The sequence below is a fragment of the Homo sapiens genome, chromosome 1, assembly GCF_000001405.40.
Source record: "Homo sapiens chromosome 1, GRCh38.p14 Primary Assembly".
Taxonomy (NCBI): Eukaryota; Metazoa; Chordata; class Mammalia; order Primates; family Hominidae; genus Homo; species Homo sapiens.
In genome coordinates, this window is record NC_000001.11 from 101,756,457 (window position 1) to 101,773,794 (window position 17,338).

At 33.6% G+C, this 17,338-nt stretch overlaps 1 long non-coding RNA gene across 4 annotated transcripts in view; it reads left to right on the plus strand.

Annotated features, from left to right (window-relative positions):
- The window catches only part of LINC01709 (long intergenic non-protein coding RNA 1709), a 147,996-nt gene that overhangs the window by 116,883 nt on the left and 13,775 nt on the right, over window positions 1-17,338 (plus strand). The gene's annotated exons all lie outside the window — the stretch shown is intronic.

Here is a 17,338-nt window from a genome sequence, read left to right on the forward strand (position 1 = left end):
TTCTTGTTAAAATAGATTTTTCTAGCTCATTTTTCATACTCCCAAGTAGCCAATAGCAGTAATAATAGCATGTAAAGTTATACAAAGTTGACTTCCCAAATAAAGACAATCCGGATGTGAGAAACCAGATCCTAGTTCAACTTACAATGGGGCTTCTGTTTCATTGTGTGTAATGCAAGAAATTAGGACTAGAATTCCATTCATTCATCATTCAAACACATATTTAAGGTACCAGGCACTGCTCTAGATGCTAGAAGACAGACAAAATTTATTATGAAGCTTATATTCTACTGGAAAGACAGCAAAAAAACGACTTCATGATTAAATAGCATTTTGTTATTAACATTCTTTTGCAGAAATATTTTTAAGCTTCTCTATATAAATAGTACTTTGTTTATAGTTGTAATTTAACTTAATAAATTTTGTCATATTTACTGGCTTATATAGAGAGTTCCTTTGTGGGAATTCCTCAAAAATTGAAATAGCGTTTTAACTTTTTTTAATAGGTTGCAATACTTTCTACAACTCCTGGAACATAATGCCTGCTTAATGATGGTTTGCTAAGCAGATGAAGGAATACATAAATAAATTAATTAAAGGAAGAAGAAAGGAATGAGTAAAATTTTTGGAGCCTAGATTGAAGCTAAGGTGTTCAATAATCTCATTTGGGCCAGAATCTCTGTGTGTGGAAGCCAAAGTTACATTCCCTCACTATACTCTCTTAGGAAAGTGGAATGGTACACTTCAAAGAACTTCTCATCCAAATATGTAACTATCATTCACAGAGAGGTTACAGTATTTAATTATTAAATTAAATTTAAATTTATAGTATTATAATTACAGTATAAGGTTACAGTATTATATATAATAAATACAATTAAGGGACATTTGAAAGCATGTAAATTAGAAGTGGGTTTGAAGAATTTGCTTTGTGAACAATTAAAATCAATATTACAAATAACCATTCTCTTTACTTGGAGCAACAGAAATTGAAATCTGGTGGTATGCATCAACCAGGCAATGGGGCAAAGTCATGCTGATGTTCCCAGGCCAGAAGAAAGAGCTGTAATAAGGAAACATCAAATGACATGCTAGAGGGCCTGGAAATCCTCTGTAATGAACAGTGAAATATTTCAAAAGAACATTATTAGACATTTCCATTCCCTTACATAGAGAGAAACTATACCTCTCACTCTTCACGTAGTAGTCAATGCTGTCTAAGATAAAACGGATTAATGTCTCAGTAGTGTTAAAAGTTGTAAGAAAAGAAAAAACTTAGGTAGTAATTGCCACTAATTTTTTTAAAAAAATAACATTACTTATTTCTCATCTATTAAACGCAATTGGATTAGTAATTTTATGACTTTTATTTTGATATAAAAAATTTTACTCTATCTTTTATATATGTGGATAAGTGTGTGTGACTTTTCATATGTATATAAGACGTATATTTATAATGCCTATATTTACTTCAAAAATATTTAAAAAGATGTACTATAGATGATATGCAGAAATCTTTTTTTATCTGCGGTATAGCCTTCTCTGACTCAGTTACTTGAGATCAATCATGGTCCCAAAATATTAGATGAAAAATTCTAGAAATATACAATTCATAAGTTTTAAATTGTGCACTCGTCTGAGTAGCCTAATGAAATCTCACACCATCAGGAAGGCTCGGTCCTTCCTGAGTCGTGAATCATCCCTTTCTCCAGGTATTCTGCTGTAAACTCTACTCGTTCATTAGTCACTTAGTAGCAGGCTTGGTTGTAGGATTGACTGTTGAGGTATTGTAGTGCTTGTGCTCAAGTAACCTTTGTTTTACTTAATAATTACCCCAGAGTACAAAAATAGTGATGCTGGCAATTTATATATGACAGAGAGAAGCTGTAAAGTGCTTCCTTTAAGTGAAATGTGAAAGTTCTCAACTTAATAAGAAAAGGAGAGAAATCATATCCTGAGATTGCTAAAATCTGTGGTAAGAATGAATCTTTTATCTCTAAAATTCTGATGAAAGAAAAAGAAATCTGCACATACTATACATAAGGTTCGGTACTATCCGTAGTTTCAGACATCCACTTGGGGTCTTGGAATGTATCCCCTGAGGATAAGGGAGAACCACTATATTCCTAAATATTCTGAGTTAAAGATTTTCTTAAGCAGAGAAATTTAAAATATAGATTATTTTAGCCTTTTCGGACTCTTATCATAAACGTGATTAAAAGCAACTAGTAACATAATATTAAATTATTATTGAAAAATACAACTGTACACTTAAATATGAATTCCTCTTAGTAACATTTTAGCTTTTCCGTATTTACAAATCATCTTTTAAAAACAAATTTTCCTGTCTAGTATTTAAATTTTGGCTTGAATATATTTCCTGAAATCTAGACTTTGGTTATAATCTCAAAATGAAATCAGCAAATGATCTGGAATTGGCAGGATCATTTTTCCTAGAACTACGTTAAAATGTCAGATTTGAATGGTATTATTCATGAAGCACAATGGTACATTTGAGCTTTGCTGGTGCCCATGGAATGAGATTTTATCTGAGGGATATATTGTCATTGAACAATTCCAAATGCCAATCAGCAAAATCCAAAGTCCTTTTATAGTGACCTTGAGCTTGCTTCAAAACATGATGAACAACTTGAGAGATTAATCTAGTGAAGCAAAAGCTTCCAGGCAAAGACAATACTCACCTTATCCAATTTGTGGTTCTCATACTGTATAGATTAGGACTTTTATGGGCAGTTAGGGTGGTAGATAATAACTAATTATTTCAGAAATGAGAGCTGTCAACACATGATATCCAGAGCTTCAATCAAGTAATCTATCTTTTTAAAAAGTATTAATTTGTATTATCAATATTAACTTATATTTATTCACATACCCATTCTGCTACTCTTTATTTCTTATAATGTGTCTGGGTTTCCATCTTGGATTATGTTGTTACTGATAGTAAATTCTTAAATATATTCTGTGCTGGTTTACTGGTTCATTATTTGAATTCTTCTTGATTGGTTTATTTGTGAAAATATATTTATTTCGCCTACATTTTTGAAGGCTATTTTATATGAGTATAGGAATGTAAGTTGGCAGTTACTTCTCTTAGTACGTTAAAGATTTTGTTCCATTTTTGGTTGGATTCTGTTATTCTCTTGAGAAATCAGTTGTAAAATTAATTTTTGTTACTTTGAGTAATGTGCCTTTTAAAATTTTATTCCCTGTTTCCAGATTCTCTCCTTTTGTATGAGATTTTCTTCTGTAATGTGATTAGGTGTGTTTTTGTTGTTGTTGTTATTGTTTTTATTGCATTTAAATTTTCCAGTGCCTCTTGAATATGTGGATTGTTGTCTTTCCTGAGTTCTGGATTCTCCCCTGTCTTCTCTTCAGATTTTGCTTCTGCTTCATTTCCTTTCTGATTTGTGTTTGTGTTTGGGGCTATATCTACATTTATGTCAGATATTTGACTGTGTTACACACAGCTCCTTTTTTTTCAACTTTCCACTTTTTTAGATGTGCTTTTGTTTACATATTTTGACTATCTGCTATTAAATTGTTTAAATTCTCAACACTCCTTTTTTTTCATGATATTTTTCTTTTGGGATAATTTTTTCCCTGACAATAAAAATAAAAAGTTTCCTGAAACATTAAAAAATACATTTAGTGAGGGTTTTTTTAAATGATTAAACACTTACAGTTTGTATTTCTACATATTTAAAACTTATCATCATCCTCAAATGATTATTGTGAAAGTTTGTAATTACAGGTTAGTGATTATATTCTCTCAGCACTTTAAAAATATTATTTTACTGTTTTCTGGCTTCTATTCTTGCCATTGCTGAATATCCTTTTAAGTTAATCGTCATTCTTTTAAATACAATCTGTCTTTGTTTCTATCTTCAAGGCATTTTTTAAGATCTTCCTTTTTTTTTTTCTTCTTTGGTTTTCAAATGATGCTTTTAGTTAAATTTTTTTCTTTAACCTGTTTAAGATTTGTTGTACTTACTGGACATGAGGATTTGTGTCTTCAATAATTCTAGAAAATCATAAAAATTTTAAGAACATTTTGTTGAAGTATAATATGCACTCAGAAAAGTGTTCACAAGTGTACAGTTCAATGAATTTTTGCAAACCACACATATAGATCTAACCAGCCCACAAATCCAGAAATACAATATTTGTGGAACTCCAGATGCCTCCTTCATGTTCCCTTTCAGTCATCTTCTACTGCCAAGTGTTACAACTGTCTGGAATTCTGTAACCGAAGATGAGTTTTGCCAGTTGTTGAACTTTCCATAAATGGAATTCCATAGTACATATGATTTTTGTGTTGACTTATTTTGCCCAATGTTTATTTTAATCACTGAGTAGCATTTTATTTTTCAAATCCAGACATTATTTTTTTAATATCTCTTAAAAAATTGTCTTCTCAAAAACCAATTACCCATACGTTAGACTTTCTTATTTTCTTTCATATCTTCTATCTTCCAGCTCATTGTTTTACTGGCTTGTATTATCAGTAATTTCTTTCTTCTTTTTTGAGAAGAAGTCTTGCTCTATCTCCCAGGCTGGAGTGCAGTGGCGCGATCTCGGCTCACTGCAAGCTCTGCCTCCCGGGTTCCCACCATAATCCTGCCCCAGCCTCCCAAGTAGCTGGGACTACAGGTGCCCGCCACCACACCACGCTAATTTCTTTTGTATTTTTAGTAGAGACGGGGTTTCACCATGTTAGCCAGGATGGTCTCAATCTCCTGACGTCGTGATCCACCTGCCTCGGTCTCCCAAAGTGCTGGGATTACAGGCGTGAGCCACTGTGCCCAGCCAGTAATTTCTTAATACACATCTTTCAATTCATAAATTTTCTTTTGAGCTATTCATAACCTGCTGTTTAATCCGAACATTGATTTCAATCTGTGTTTTTAATTTTAGTAATAACTTTTATTTCTAGAAATACTATTCACTTACTTAAAAATATGCCTTATCTTTTAAAAAATATCTTATTGATCTTTTATATTTTTATTCCATTTTAAATGTATTTAAATATTTAAAGATACTTCTGTCATATTCTGAATCTTATGGTTATATTATCTGATGTCATCAGATGCCTAATTATACTATTGGCTGTTTCTGCTCACTCTCCCTAGTGGTATCTTATGTTCCTGAAGTGTTTTGTGATCTTAAGTAATTAGATCATTTGTAACATGAATTTTTTTAGAATCCCAGCAGTTATTGATTTTTTATGCTACTTTTTTGAGAATACAGTATTTGCCTTTGATTCTTCAGGAGGCTACTATTAAGTTAATTTTCTCTTGGACCTTGCAGATAGTATAGATTAGCATTCTCAGCTTTGTGTGACTTGAAATTTCCAGGAGATTTTTTTTCATCTGTATTTCACATAAAAGCTAAAATTTCCTTGTTCTCCCCTTATGCCAACATTATTTTTTCTCATCTGTAATTTTACTAAGGTTATAGACCTCTGAGGCATACACTTTTATGTAGAGAGCTCCTTTCTAACACTCTACCTTATGTGACACTCAAGGTCTTGCCACTTATTCCATAATTGGCATGAAAGACAAAGTCTATTTTACCGAGATTAATACATCATCTTAGATTAGCCATGCCTTTTGAGTAAGCTCACTATTTATGTTTTCAGTTCCTCCTCTATTTTGCCTCTGAGATTTTGTTTTTAGTTCTTATAAATTCAGCTATGTCTTTAAAATGATGTTTGCTATACAGTATAGATCATTTTCAAATGCTTTGTTTTGGGAGTTTTAAAGGCATCTATTCTGCCATATATCTGAGTTAGAGGATTTCCTCTTTTCTTTAAAAAACACTCACTTTATTTTATTGGGTGGCTCCCTCAGTAGTTAACAATGACTTTGGGGAAGTTACTTTAGTTTTTGTGCCTTGTTTTTGTTTGTAAAATAAAGATGATAAAATTATCTATTTCTTGTGATTTTTTTGGATCAAATAGTATAATACATGTAAAGTGCTTTCAATAGTGCCAAACACATACCAAGTTGTCAGTAATTGTTAGTTATTACCACTAGCACTATTGTAACTGTTGATGACCCCTTTGAAGATATCGATTTCTAAGCTTTCAATTATTATATTGACAATAATAATTGATAATTTAATATTTATAGATTTCCCATGCATGTCATATCTTTTATGCAAGCTTCAATGTATGCTGCCAACTTTTCCTTGAATAATAGTTTCTTCAGAGTTTAAAGTAATCCAAGATGTTATCTATTCCAAATTTCAATGTATTTGAATAATGTCAAACAGATTACCATCCAGGCTGTCTTGACTCATACAAGGATGTGGAACTCAAGGAATGTATTTGATTTGTAATTCCCTCTTTCTTATAACTCATCATCAGCTTTCCTTCTTCCTTCTCTGGCTTATATAAATGATATGTACACTGATGTAGGCCATACATAGAGAAAAAGAACATGATTTCTAATGCTAACCATTTGACCCTGACACATCATTTCCTGGGAGAAGGGAGAAGAGAGTTCAGTAAAGAAAAAATAGTGACCTAGTTCAAGATTATATGTTATTTCTTTCATTTATGTTTGGACTTTTTCAGGCAGCAGTTCAGAATGGTTTCTAGATCCAGAGAGACTATATGCCTGAGGCTCTTGTACTTATAAAAGATCAAAAAGAAAAAAAAAAGAATGGTCATGAGTGTTTCTGTTGATTCATTTAAGATTCTTTTTGATTTAATACTGTGGAGACCAGGATTAAATATCCTTTGGGACTATGTTCATATAGATATGGCATGTATTATTGAATTATGCTTCCCAGGCTAACCTAGTGAAAGTGGTGTAGTTTTAAGCCTGATAAGTTTAGGACAGTTATAAAATCTAATATTTTTATTTCTTGTTATGTTATCCTTACAGTGGCATTTTCACTGCTTTGCTTTAAAATATGAGAATGAAAATGATAGATTCTATTTTATTTCTATCCTTCTGGCATAATTTAAAAACCATCATAAAATAATCAGGGAAATTGTCTCGATGAACAATTATGAAAAAAGCTATTCAAACTGAATGCCTCTAAGTGAAGCTTCAAGAATGATGTTAATTTGTTGTAAGATACGTTTCTGATGAGAATTATTATAAAAGGAGGAAAAAAGGCATATCAGAATTCTAGAAGCCCTAAAAACTAGAAGCACACTCATACAACAACTTCTTTTTCCTCCTCTGCCTCCTTTACAAGTTTGAATGAAAAATACATAAAGTGCCTCATTTTCACTTATTATGTTTGCAATGGCATTCTCAGATGAAGGCTGGTTCTTTTAACATCAAATTCTCCCTTTAAATTACAGCAGAGATGAAGCATGTCACCTTTCTTTCAATTCTAGCACATAAAGAAAACCTAAGTTTTTTATCTTAGCACTTCAAAATTTCTATTTCCTGGCACAATATTATAAGATTTTTCAAGAACTAGCAACATTATTGATGGTATCAAAAAAGAGGGAAAGTAATTTTTTTCTTACATAGAGCATATCTCTAGTAGTAGTTATTTTCTTCTTCTTAGGAAATCACATTGATTAGCCCTTATTCACAAACGATTTAAAAATCTTTAATTTTGGAACTGCAGATCTATATGCACAATGAACTAATCAATCATCTGAAAGTTGCACAACCTTTCTAAATTTGAACTCCTTATTTTTCCCCAAACGCTATTCCTCTTATGCTAAATGAATATTCTAAATTAAACATACTTCCCCAAGCCTCACCTACTAAATGGTTCTCTCTGCTTCCTATCTCCAACATAGACTTAACCTTCTCTCTATAGTGACCTACTCAAAGTTTACTATATAGAACATGTGGCTCCAAATGTCACAACTTTCTCACACTCTGCTCCCTTTGCCTGGAGCACAAGTCTGTTGGGCTTCCTTCATGTCTCCACCTCATCCTAACTCTCCTAGGAAGTGATGATACCTTAAGAAGCTCTCAGTTTAGAAGGAGAGATGGGAAGCCAAAAGAATACTTTAATATAAAGAAATGTGATAATAGAAACTTCATTACAATAATTTGTTTATATGTCTTTATGTTGTTAAATTACAATCTTTTTGAGGTCATGGGTTATATCTAATTTATCTTTGTATTGTTAGTGTTTAGCATAATAACCAATAAATATTATTGTATGTTTATTAATGAATAGATGCTTAATAAATATTTACTAACTATATGTAGTTCTCATGACCTACAACTACAAAACCATTATTATACAAGTATCAGTAACTTTTTTCATTCTCAAATAAGCTCTAGTCAACAGCTCACTGACAAGATTCAGATTTACATGAAATCATAAATTCTGAGACAAAATCCCAGGTGTCTTCCAAACTTGGCATAATATAGTTTATACATCATATTGCAGATTGTGCTTTTGAAATGCAAAGGTGCAGCATTAAACCAAGGGAAATATAAGGCCGTTAGAAGAAATTTGTATGAGCAAATTATTTTCTCACCATGCAAGGTGACTTCTTTCTTCAGCAGGATCTATATAGAATTCTAGTCTGCTATTGGTCTAAGGATCAGAAGACCTGGTTTATGAGGCCAGTTCTGGTTCCTCTGTGAGCTAGCTATATAATTTATACATTTTTTGAGGCTTAGTTTTCTTATTTACAAATGTGGGTGATAATACTTGCCATGATTACCTCACATAGATAAAACAAGGCCCAAATGAGCCAATGCACATGAAACTATTTTGAAGCATACAGGTTACTGTGAAGGTGTAAAATATTATGATTAGATAAAATGTATTAGTTTGTTATGATTATATAAATAGAGAGGAATGTTGGAGTGTAAAAAATAAATTTCTGGTCATGAAGTGTTTGCCCATGCCTATATCCTGAATGGTTTTCTTCTAGGGTTTTATGGTTTTAGGTCTTACATTTAAGTCTTTAATCCATCTTGAATTAATTTTTGTATAAGGTGTAAGGAAGGGATCCAGTTTCAGTTTTCTGCATATATCTAGCCAGTTTTCCTAACATCATTTATTAAATAGGGAATCCTTTCCCTATTGCTTGTTTTTGTCAGATTTGTCAAAAATCAGATGGTTGTAGATGTGTGGTGTTATTTCTGAGGCCTCTGTTCTGTTCCATTGGTCTATATATCCGTTTTGGTACCAGTACCATGCTGTTTTGGTTACTGTAGCCTTGTAGTATATATAGTTTGAAGTCAGGTAGCGTGATGCCTCCAGCTTTGTTATTTTTACTTAAGGTTGTCTTGGCTATATGGGCTCTTTTTTGGTTCCATATGAAATTTAAAGTAGTTTTTTCTAATTCTGTGAAGAAAGTCAATGGTAGCTTGATGGGGATAGCATTGAATCTATAAATTACTTTGGGCAGTATGGCCATTTTCACAATATTGATTCTTTGTATCCATGGGCATGGAGTGTTTTTCCATTTGTTTGTGTCCTCTCTTATTTCCTTGAGCAGTGATTGGTAGTTCTCCTTGAAAAGGTCCTTCACATCCCTTGTAAGTTGTATTCCTGGGTATATTATTCTCTTTGTAGTAATTGTGAATGGGAGTTCACTCATGATTTGGCTCTCTGTTTGTCTGTTATGGGTGTATAGGGATGCATGTGATTTTTGCACATTGATTTTGTATCCTGAGACTTTGCTGAAGTTACTCATCAACTTAAGGAGATTTTGGGCTAAGATGATGGGGTTCTCTAAATATACAATCATGTCATCTTCAAATAGAGACAATTTGACTTCCTCTCTTCCTATCTGAATATCCTTCATTTTTTTTCTCTTGCCTGATTGCCCTGGCCAGAACTTCCAATACTATGTTTAATAGGAGTGGTGAGAGAGGGCATCCTTGTCTTGTGCTTGTTTTCAAAGGGAATGCTTCCAGCTTTTGCCCATTCAGTATGATATTGGACAGCAAAAGCAATGGCAACAAAAGCCAAAATTGACAAATGGGAACTAATTAAACTAAAGAGCTTCTGCACAGAAGAAGAAAAAAAAAACTATCATCAGAGTGAACAGGCAACCTACAGAATGGGAGAAAATTTTTGCAATCGATCACAAAGGGCTAATATCCAGAGTCTACAAAGAACTTAAACAAATTTACAAGAAATAAAACAAACAACCCCATCAAAGAGTGGGCAAAGGGTATGAACAGATGCTTCTCAAAAGGAGACATTTATCCGGCCAACAAATATATGAATAAAAGCTCATCATTACTGGTCATTAGAGAAATGCAAATCAAAACCACAGTGAGATACTATCTTATGCTAGTTAGAATGGCAATCATTAAAAAGTCAGGAAACAACAGATGCTGGAGAGGATGTGGAGAAATAGTAATGCTTTTACACTGTTGGTGGGAGTGTAAATTGGTTCAACCATTGTGGAAGACAGTGTGGTGATTCCTCAAGGATCTAGAACCAGAAATACCATTTGACTCAGCAATCCCATTACTGGGCATATGCCCAAAGGATCATAAATCAGTCTACCATACCTAGATACATACACATGCATACATATATTTATTGCAGCACTGTTCACAATAGCAAAGACTTGGAACCAACCCAAATGTCAATCAGTGATAGAGTGGATAAAGAAAATGCAGCACATATACACCATGGAATACTGTGCAGCCATAAAAAGGATGAGTTCATGTCCTTTGCAGGGACATGGATGAAGCTGGAAACCATCATTCTCATCAAACTAACACAAGAACAGAAAACCAAACACCGTATGTTCTCACTCATAAGTGGGAGTTGAACAATGAGAACACATGGATACAGGGTGGGGAACATCACACACTGGGGCCTGTCAGGGAATGGGGGACTAGAGGAAGGATAGCATTAGTAGAAATACCTAATGTAGAGGATGGGTTGTTGGGTGCAGCAAACTACCATAGCACGTGTATACCTAAGCAACAAACCTGCACGTTCTGCACATGTATCCCAGAACTTATAGTTAATAAATAAATAAATAAATAAAGTCCTGAATTTGAAAAAAAATAAATTTATCTTATCTGAATTTATTTGTTAAAAATTTTTCTTATCAATAATTGTATTACTGTAATAATTGCTAATTTGTTGAGTGTTTGCAATGCTCTAGAACCCATGCAGATTATCTCATTTACTTCTAACTACAAATCCATAAAGTAGGATTGATTATGATCATCCTTACAGATAAGGAAGATGAGACTTACAGATACTAAGTTACTAAGTGATAAGGGTATTCTATACTATTGCAGAATTTCAGCATCCAAATTAATTTTACTCCAATTCCTAAAGTGCTCCTTGTAAAGAAAGGGAAAAAAATGTTCTAAAACATGAGTATACTCTTGCTAGTCAGTGAGTTATTTACTTTTCCCATACTTTCCCAAGAATTATTCTAAGATGAACAGTACATGAAATTACTCTTAGCATGTTTACCTAGGTCTATTTTTTTTTAATTTTTATAATGACATTATAATAGCACATGGTATTATACCAGGAGGGTAAAAAGGAATCTGTATGAGATGCTAAGCTTTTTCTGTAAACATGCATTTTCCCCTGAGACATTTCTTTATCTAAGTTCCCTAAATCAGGAGATATCAGTTAATTATCTACCGTTTGCTCAAGCTAGAATCATTGGTATTATATATTTTTTAATTTTAACCTTTATCCTTCATCCCTACTTCCCTATCCTTATTTCATTTAATCAATTGTCATGTCCTGTCTCTTCTACCTTGACTGTATTTCTTGATTCAGTTTTCTTCTCTTCATCTCCTTTCTACCACATTAGTCCAAGCCAAAATGCTTCTTTGCTTAGAATACAGCAAACATCTTTCAACTGGTCTCAATGCATCTATTTTACATTCCTTTTAATTCATTCTCCAATGGCTAGACTGATCTTTTATAATGCCAATTCAATAATGCTATACCTTTGTCTGAAATAGTTTGTGAATTCCAGTTGTTCTTCAAATAAAGTTGAAAAGCCCTGACATGGATTTTGAGTCTCGGTATGATCTGTTTTACCTAATCTCATGTCATACTATTTTCCCCTCCTTTTACACCTAGTAGCCATATGGACCTTATTTCACTTCAGTCAATACCCATGCTTCTTCCAGCCTTGGAAGCCTGTACATATTAGTTCCTCTGCCTGCAAAGCTTGGTCACCCTCACCTGCCACCTGGATACAAATAAGTCATTCTTCAGGCAGCACTTTACATGTCACTTTCTAAAGGAGGCATTCCTCCATCTCCCATAGATTGGATCAGAGTCCCTGTTAATTGCTCTTATGCGTGCTGTTTTTCTTTTTTTAATAACCTGTATCACAGTAATTCTTCATTATGAAAGAAATTATCTTTGTAACTCAAACAAACACAGAGTTTTTGTTTTTCTTATACTTTTGTCCTTATAGCTGAGTAGTGTAAAAATATTTGAGATCCCTCAGAAAGTGAGATGGCAAAAGATCATAAATAGCTATGCTCTAAAATTTCCCCTGTCATACCTGTTTACTGCTTGAGGGCAGGATTTCTATTTTGTTTATTGCTGTACTGTGTGACTCTGGCACAGAGTGGGTGTGCAATGACTATTTGGTAAGTGAGTCAATATATGAAGTTTCTCTATGGATCATCTAGAATAAAATAAAATATAATTCAGTTCTTACTACTCAGATAAATGGAAACTGCCCCCTTATGAATCTCTTCATGGAATCAAGAAACTTTAGCCTAGCTAAATTTTTATATATTTTTTTACTTTGTTATCCTCGATGCCTAATATATTTCTTGATTTTTATTACTTAATCTTAGAGACACCAATCTGAGCTGAATGCCATTATTCTTATTTTTATAAATAAAGAAACTAACTGTGGTAGTCTTCTAGCCACCCTGCAAATCCTTTACCTCCTTCCATAGTAACAGGACTCTGGCTGGCACATAGTTTGACATTTCTCTGACTTTCTTGCATTAAGATATGTCCTTTTGGCGAATTCTCTCCCATCTTGTAAGAGAAACTATGTGTGCCTCTAAGCCTGAGCTTTTCAGAGGATGGATGTGCCTTCTCTTCTTCAAATACTTTCTCTCTTCCTCTAACTAACCCTGGGCATGGCAACTCAGCTGCATCTCTGACTCTCTGTGAGGAGGAGAACATCCTTTGCGCTTGGAACATACATGTAAGCAGCAAACAAATGTCTATTATGTCTGACCTGTTGCAATTTGGGGTCCAGTTTTTAAGCAGTTTGCCTATATAATCAAGGTACACTCAGAAACGTATTATAATATTCTCTATGGCCACCAGGTGGCTTCCAATCTCAGGACTGCTTGGCTCAAAGACCATCCATCGCCTTCAAGGACATCTCTGGGGAACAAAATACAGAAATGTCTCTTTAATTTGTGTACTTATATAACCCTGCTTCATCTATCCTAGTTCTTATGTGATTATTTCCTCCAATTTCTTTTTTAGGTATTAGTGTGTTTCAATCATTCATCCAGTAATTCTTTCAATTAACTTTTAATGAATGCCTACATTTTTGGAGTAGATTCAAAGAACAGTTAAATCTCTACTCCTGAGAAGTCTGTTGGTGGTCAAAAAGACAGGAAAGGAATACTTAATAAATAAAATAGAACACAATTTTAAAAGTGGTGCATGTCATAGAAATGCGAATACAAAATTTGAATGCTACAAGGAGAAAGTGCTTGTCGTGTTTCTGTTAATATGAGCTGACGACTAATTAGCCAATATCCTGCTTAATTTATTTTCTTCCTTACAACCCAGTAAGGTCAGAGCACTTCTGACATCTCTATTTGAACTAGAGTAGACGAGAATGAAAGAGGAGTCCTCTGATGAGATTCTAGCCCTTTATCTCCTTTTAACAGCCCTTATACATTGAGTTGCACAGTTTACTAATAAACTCTAAATTGTGTCATTAGGCAGGTAGTTTGGCTTCATTATCACCAATTCTTTCAAAGTGGCACTGCTAATCTTTCCTATTAGCCAAGGAAAATCACTGCCAACCAATCAGATAACTGGACTGGTGAAAATAGGTTACCTGGAAATGGCTGGCTTGAAACATAATAGTGTGTTCAGAAAATATTTTGGCAGAAATAGTAATTCCAAGGGGCAGGGAACATACCTGGACACAGACTGCTTGAAAATAGTTCTGAGTGTTGGGTTAATCTGTCTTTGAAAATTCACAAAATAGTCCCCGGTGTGTGATGTTCTCCTTCCTGTGTCCATGTGTTCTCATTGTTCAATTCCCACCTATGAGTAAGAACATGCGGTGTTTGGTTTTTTGTCCTTGCGATAATTTGCTGAGAATGATGGTTTCCAGCTTCATCCATGCCCCTACTGGGGGGAGTGGGGAGGGATAGCACTGGGAGATATACCTAATGCTAAATGACGAGTTGATGGGTGCAGCGCACCAACATGGCACGTGTATACATATGTTAACAAACCTGCACTTTGTGCACATGTACACTAAAACTAAAGTATAATAATAATAAAAAAATAAAATAAAATAAAGAAAATTCACAAAATAAAAAAATATTTTCAGAAGTTTCATAAGTTATCTTATTCTTCAAACATTTTAATCTTTTCTGATTACATAGGTATTCTGTACCATAGATTGTTACCCCCCCACATGTTCACTTCACATGCTTACATATACACTTTCATTTTATAATGTCATCTGTATTTTCAAGAGAGCATTGGTTCAGCAAGCCACATTTCAAACACATGTGTTTTCTTTTATCTACATATTTAAAATTAAACTAAATTTTATTTTAATAAAAAAGTAGAGGGAAGAGTTTCATACCAATTGCCTATGGTGCAACTCACAATTTATCCTTTGCTTTTCAAAAGAGAACATAGCAATTTTGAATCAATCAAAATCTTTATAGTGAATTCCAGTTAAAAATACATGTATGGCCCTTGATGTGTCTGGTTGTAATCAGGCTGTAGAACCTTCTAAGTATACTAGTTCTAGGGACAGCTCTTATTTAATGGTCCTAATGTCAATAAGACCAGTGGCTAATTGTTGCAAATAATAGAAGTACAGTTCTTATAATAGACTATGTTAGAGAATAAATTTCTCTTGCTATGAAAATAAATATGTTGAATTTCTTCAGCATTTATATATGGCAGGAGACCATTTGAATAGGTAAAATATTTTATAGCTTTGACATTAGTTTTTGATTTTACTGGATATTTTCCAAATACAAAATAGAATTTTAGATCTTGAGTTTATTGTACATGGAATTTGAAAGAAACAAGCTTTACTATCTGAAAATTAATCTTTTTTTTTTTTTGAGACAGAGTCTTGCTCTGTTGCCTAGGCTGGAGTGCAGTGGCATCACCTCACTATAAACTTTGCCTCCTTGGTTCAAGCGATCTTGTGCCTCAGCCTCCCAAGTAGCTGGGATTATAGGCGCACACCTCCATGACTGGTTCCTTCATATTTTGTTTGTTATAAATTATGAAAAGTTAAAATGATGACAGGTGCTATCACTCACCCCTTGTCATCCCTTTTCCACTTTATTTGGGTTGCTTCCCTTAAATCTTATTATTCTGTTACTATTTTTTAAGTTGTCCCTTACCTAATCCTTGCTTTGTACTATGTGCCCTTCTATTGCAATACAGGCTATCAGAGTTCATTCTAGTAATAGTAGTAAGCTAAATTTCATATGCCTTAATATTATTAAAATTATTTTATTTAGAAAGGGAATCTTTAGAGTATGGTCTTCAATATCACCTTAGACTCATCTTGGATTAACTTTTTGAGAGCCAACAAGTTACTTATTCTTTTGGAGCAGAACAAACTGGGGAGCACAGGTTACTTATCCCTGTAAATATAATCTTTTCTGGTCTTAACTATCTGTTTATGCAAATATCCTATCTGTTCGATATGTTTATTCAGAGAGTTAGAGATGATTGAGAGATAATAGGATTTGATGATATTAAGTGACAACTTTAATGAGAACCCTGAAATCAGACCAAGAGATCCGATGGGAATTTCTTCCAAGAGATATATTTAATTGGGGCTTGAACATGTTTTAAAAGCCTGGATGAATAATTCTATTAAGAAAAATGCATCTAACAAATAGAACTACTAATTGAACTGTAATGCTGACCTTTAAAAATAACAGACATGATTAAATGCATATCATCAGAGTGGTCTTTCTGTCTAGATATAAGGCTTTTAAGTGTTTCTTTCCTCTTTGCTTATTGACTTTGGTTAATATATTCTGTGGATTTACACTTGATGTATTCAAGAAAGTAGAAAATAATTAACCACCACTTAGGTTACTGTCAAGAATGATGAAGTAACAGAGATCCACTAGGCTTTCATGGACTGCTGGACTCACAATATTTTAAATCTTTGGGATCTCATTAGTAGTACTTCCAATACTGTATCTTTGAAAATGAGTTTTATTTCTAGTTTATGAAAGAGACACATGATTATCTGGTAAATTTAACTCAATAGGAACAATCCTATTTTTTTGTCAAAAATAGGATTTGATCAAGAGTTTTCAGCTAAACACTTGAGAGACACAAATGACTGAACTCCATGAAATGAATGATTGCTGTATTAGTCCTTTTTCATACTGCTATTAAGAAGTGCTAGAGACTGGGCAATTTATAAAGAAAAGAGATTTAATTGAATCACAGTTTAGGTGGCTTGGTAGGCCTCAGGAAACTTACAATCATGGCAGAAATCAAAGAGGAAGCAAGGCACCTTCTTCACAAAGTGGCAGGAAAGAGAAATGCTGAGTGAAGGGGGAAGAAACCCTTAAAAAACCATCAGATCTCATGAGAACTCACTCACTGTCACAAGAACAGCATGGGGAAAACTGCCCCCATGATTCAGTTACCTCCACCTGTTCTCTCCCTTGACAGGTGGTGGGTTTTATGGGGGTTATGGAGATTATAATTCAAGATGAGATTTGGGTGGGGACAGAAAGCCTAACCACATCAATTGGTAAGATACTACAATTTTGGAAAACCAATGGATATGGGAGGGGAGAAAGAAAGTCTCATGACTCTTCTTTGGAATATGAGTTGACTAATGATGTCTGTAAGAATAAGATAAACACTAGGGATAAACATTTAGCAAATAGACTTCTCAAAACACACTATGAAGTAGTAGCTATTATTATCTAAATTTAATGTGAAAACCTTGGCTCGAATAACTTTCTTAAAGTCACAATGCTGGAAATCAGCTACAGTCTGTGTGGCTCCAAATGGACTTTAAATTTCATGATTGTTTGGAAAAACAAGGTGATAAATTTTAAGGAGTGAAAAAGAACAGGGTTGTCACTTGGTGAGCAAAAAGATAGAAACTTAAAAAGAAGAATATCCACAAGAAGAACATAAA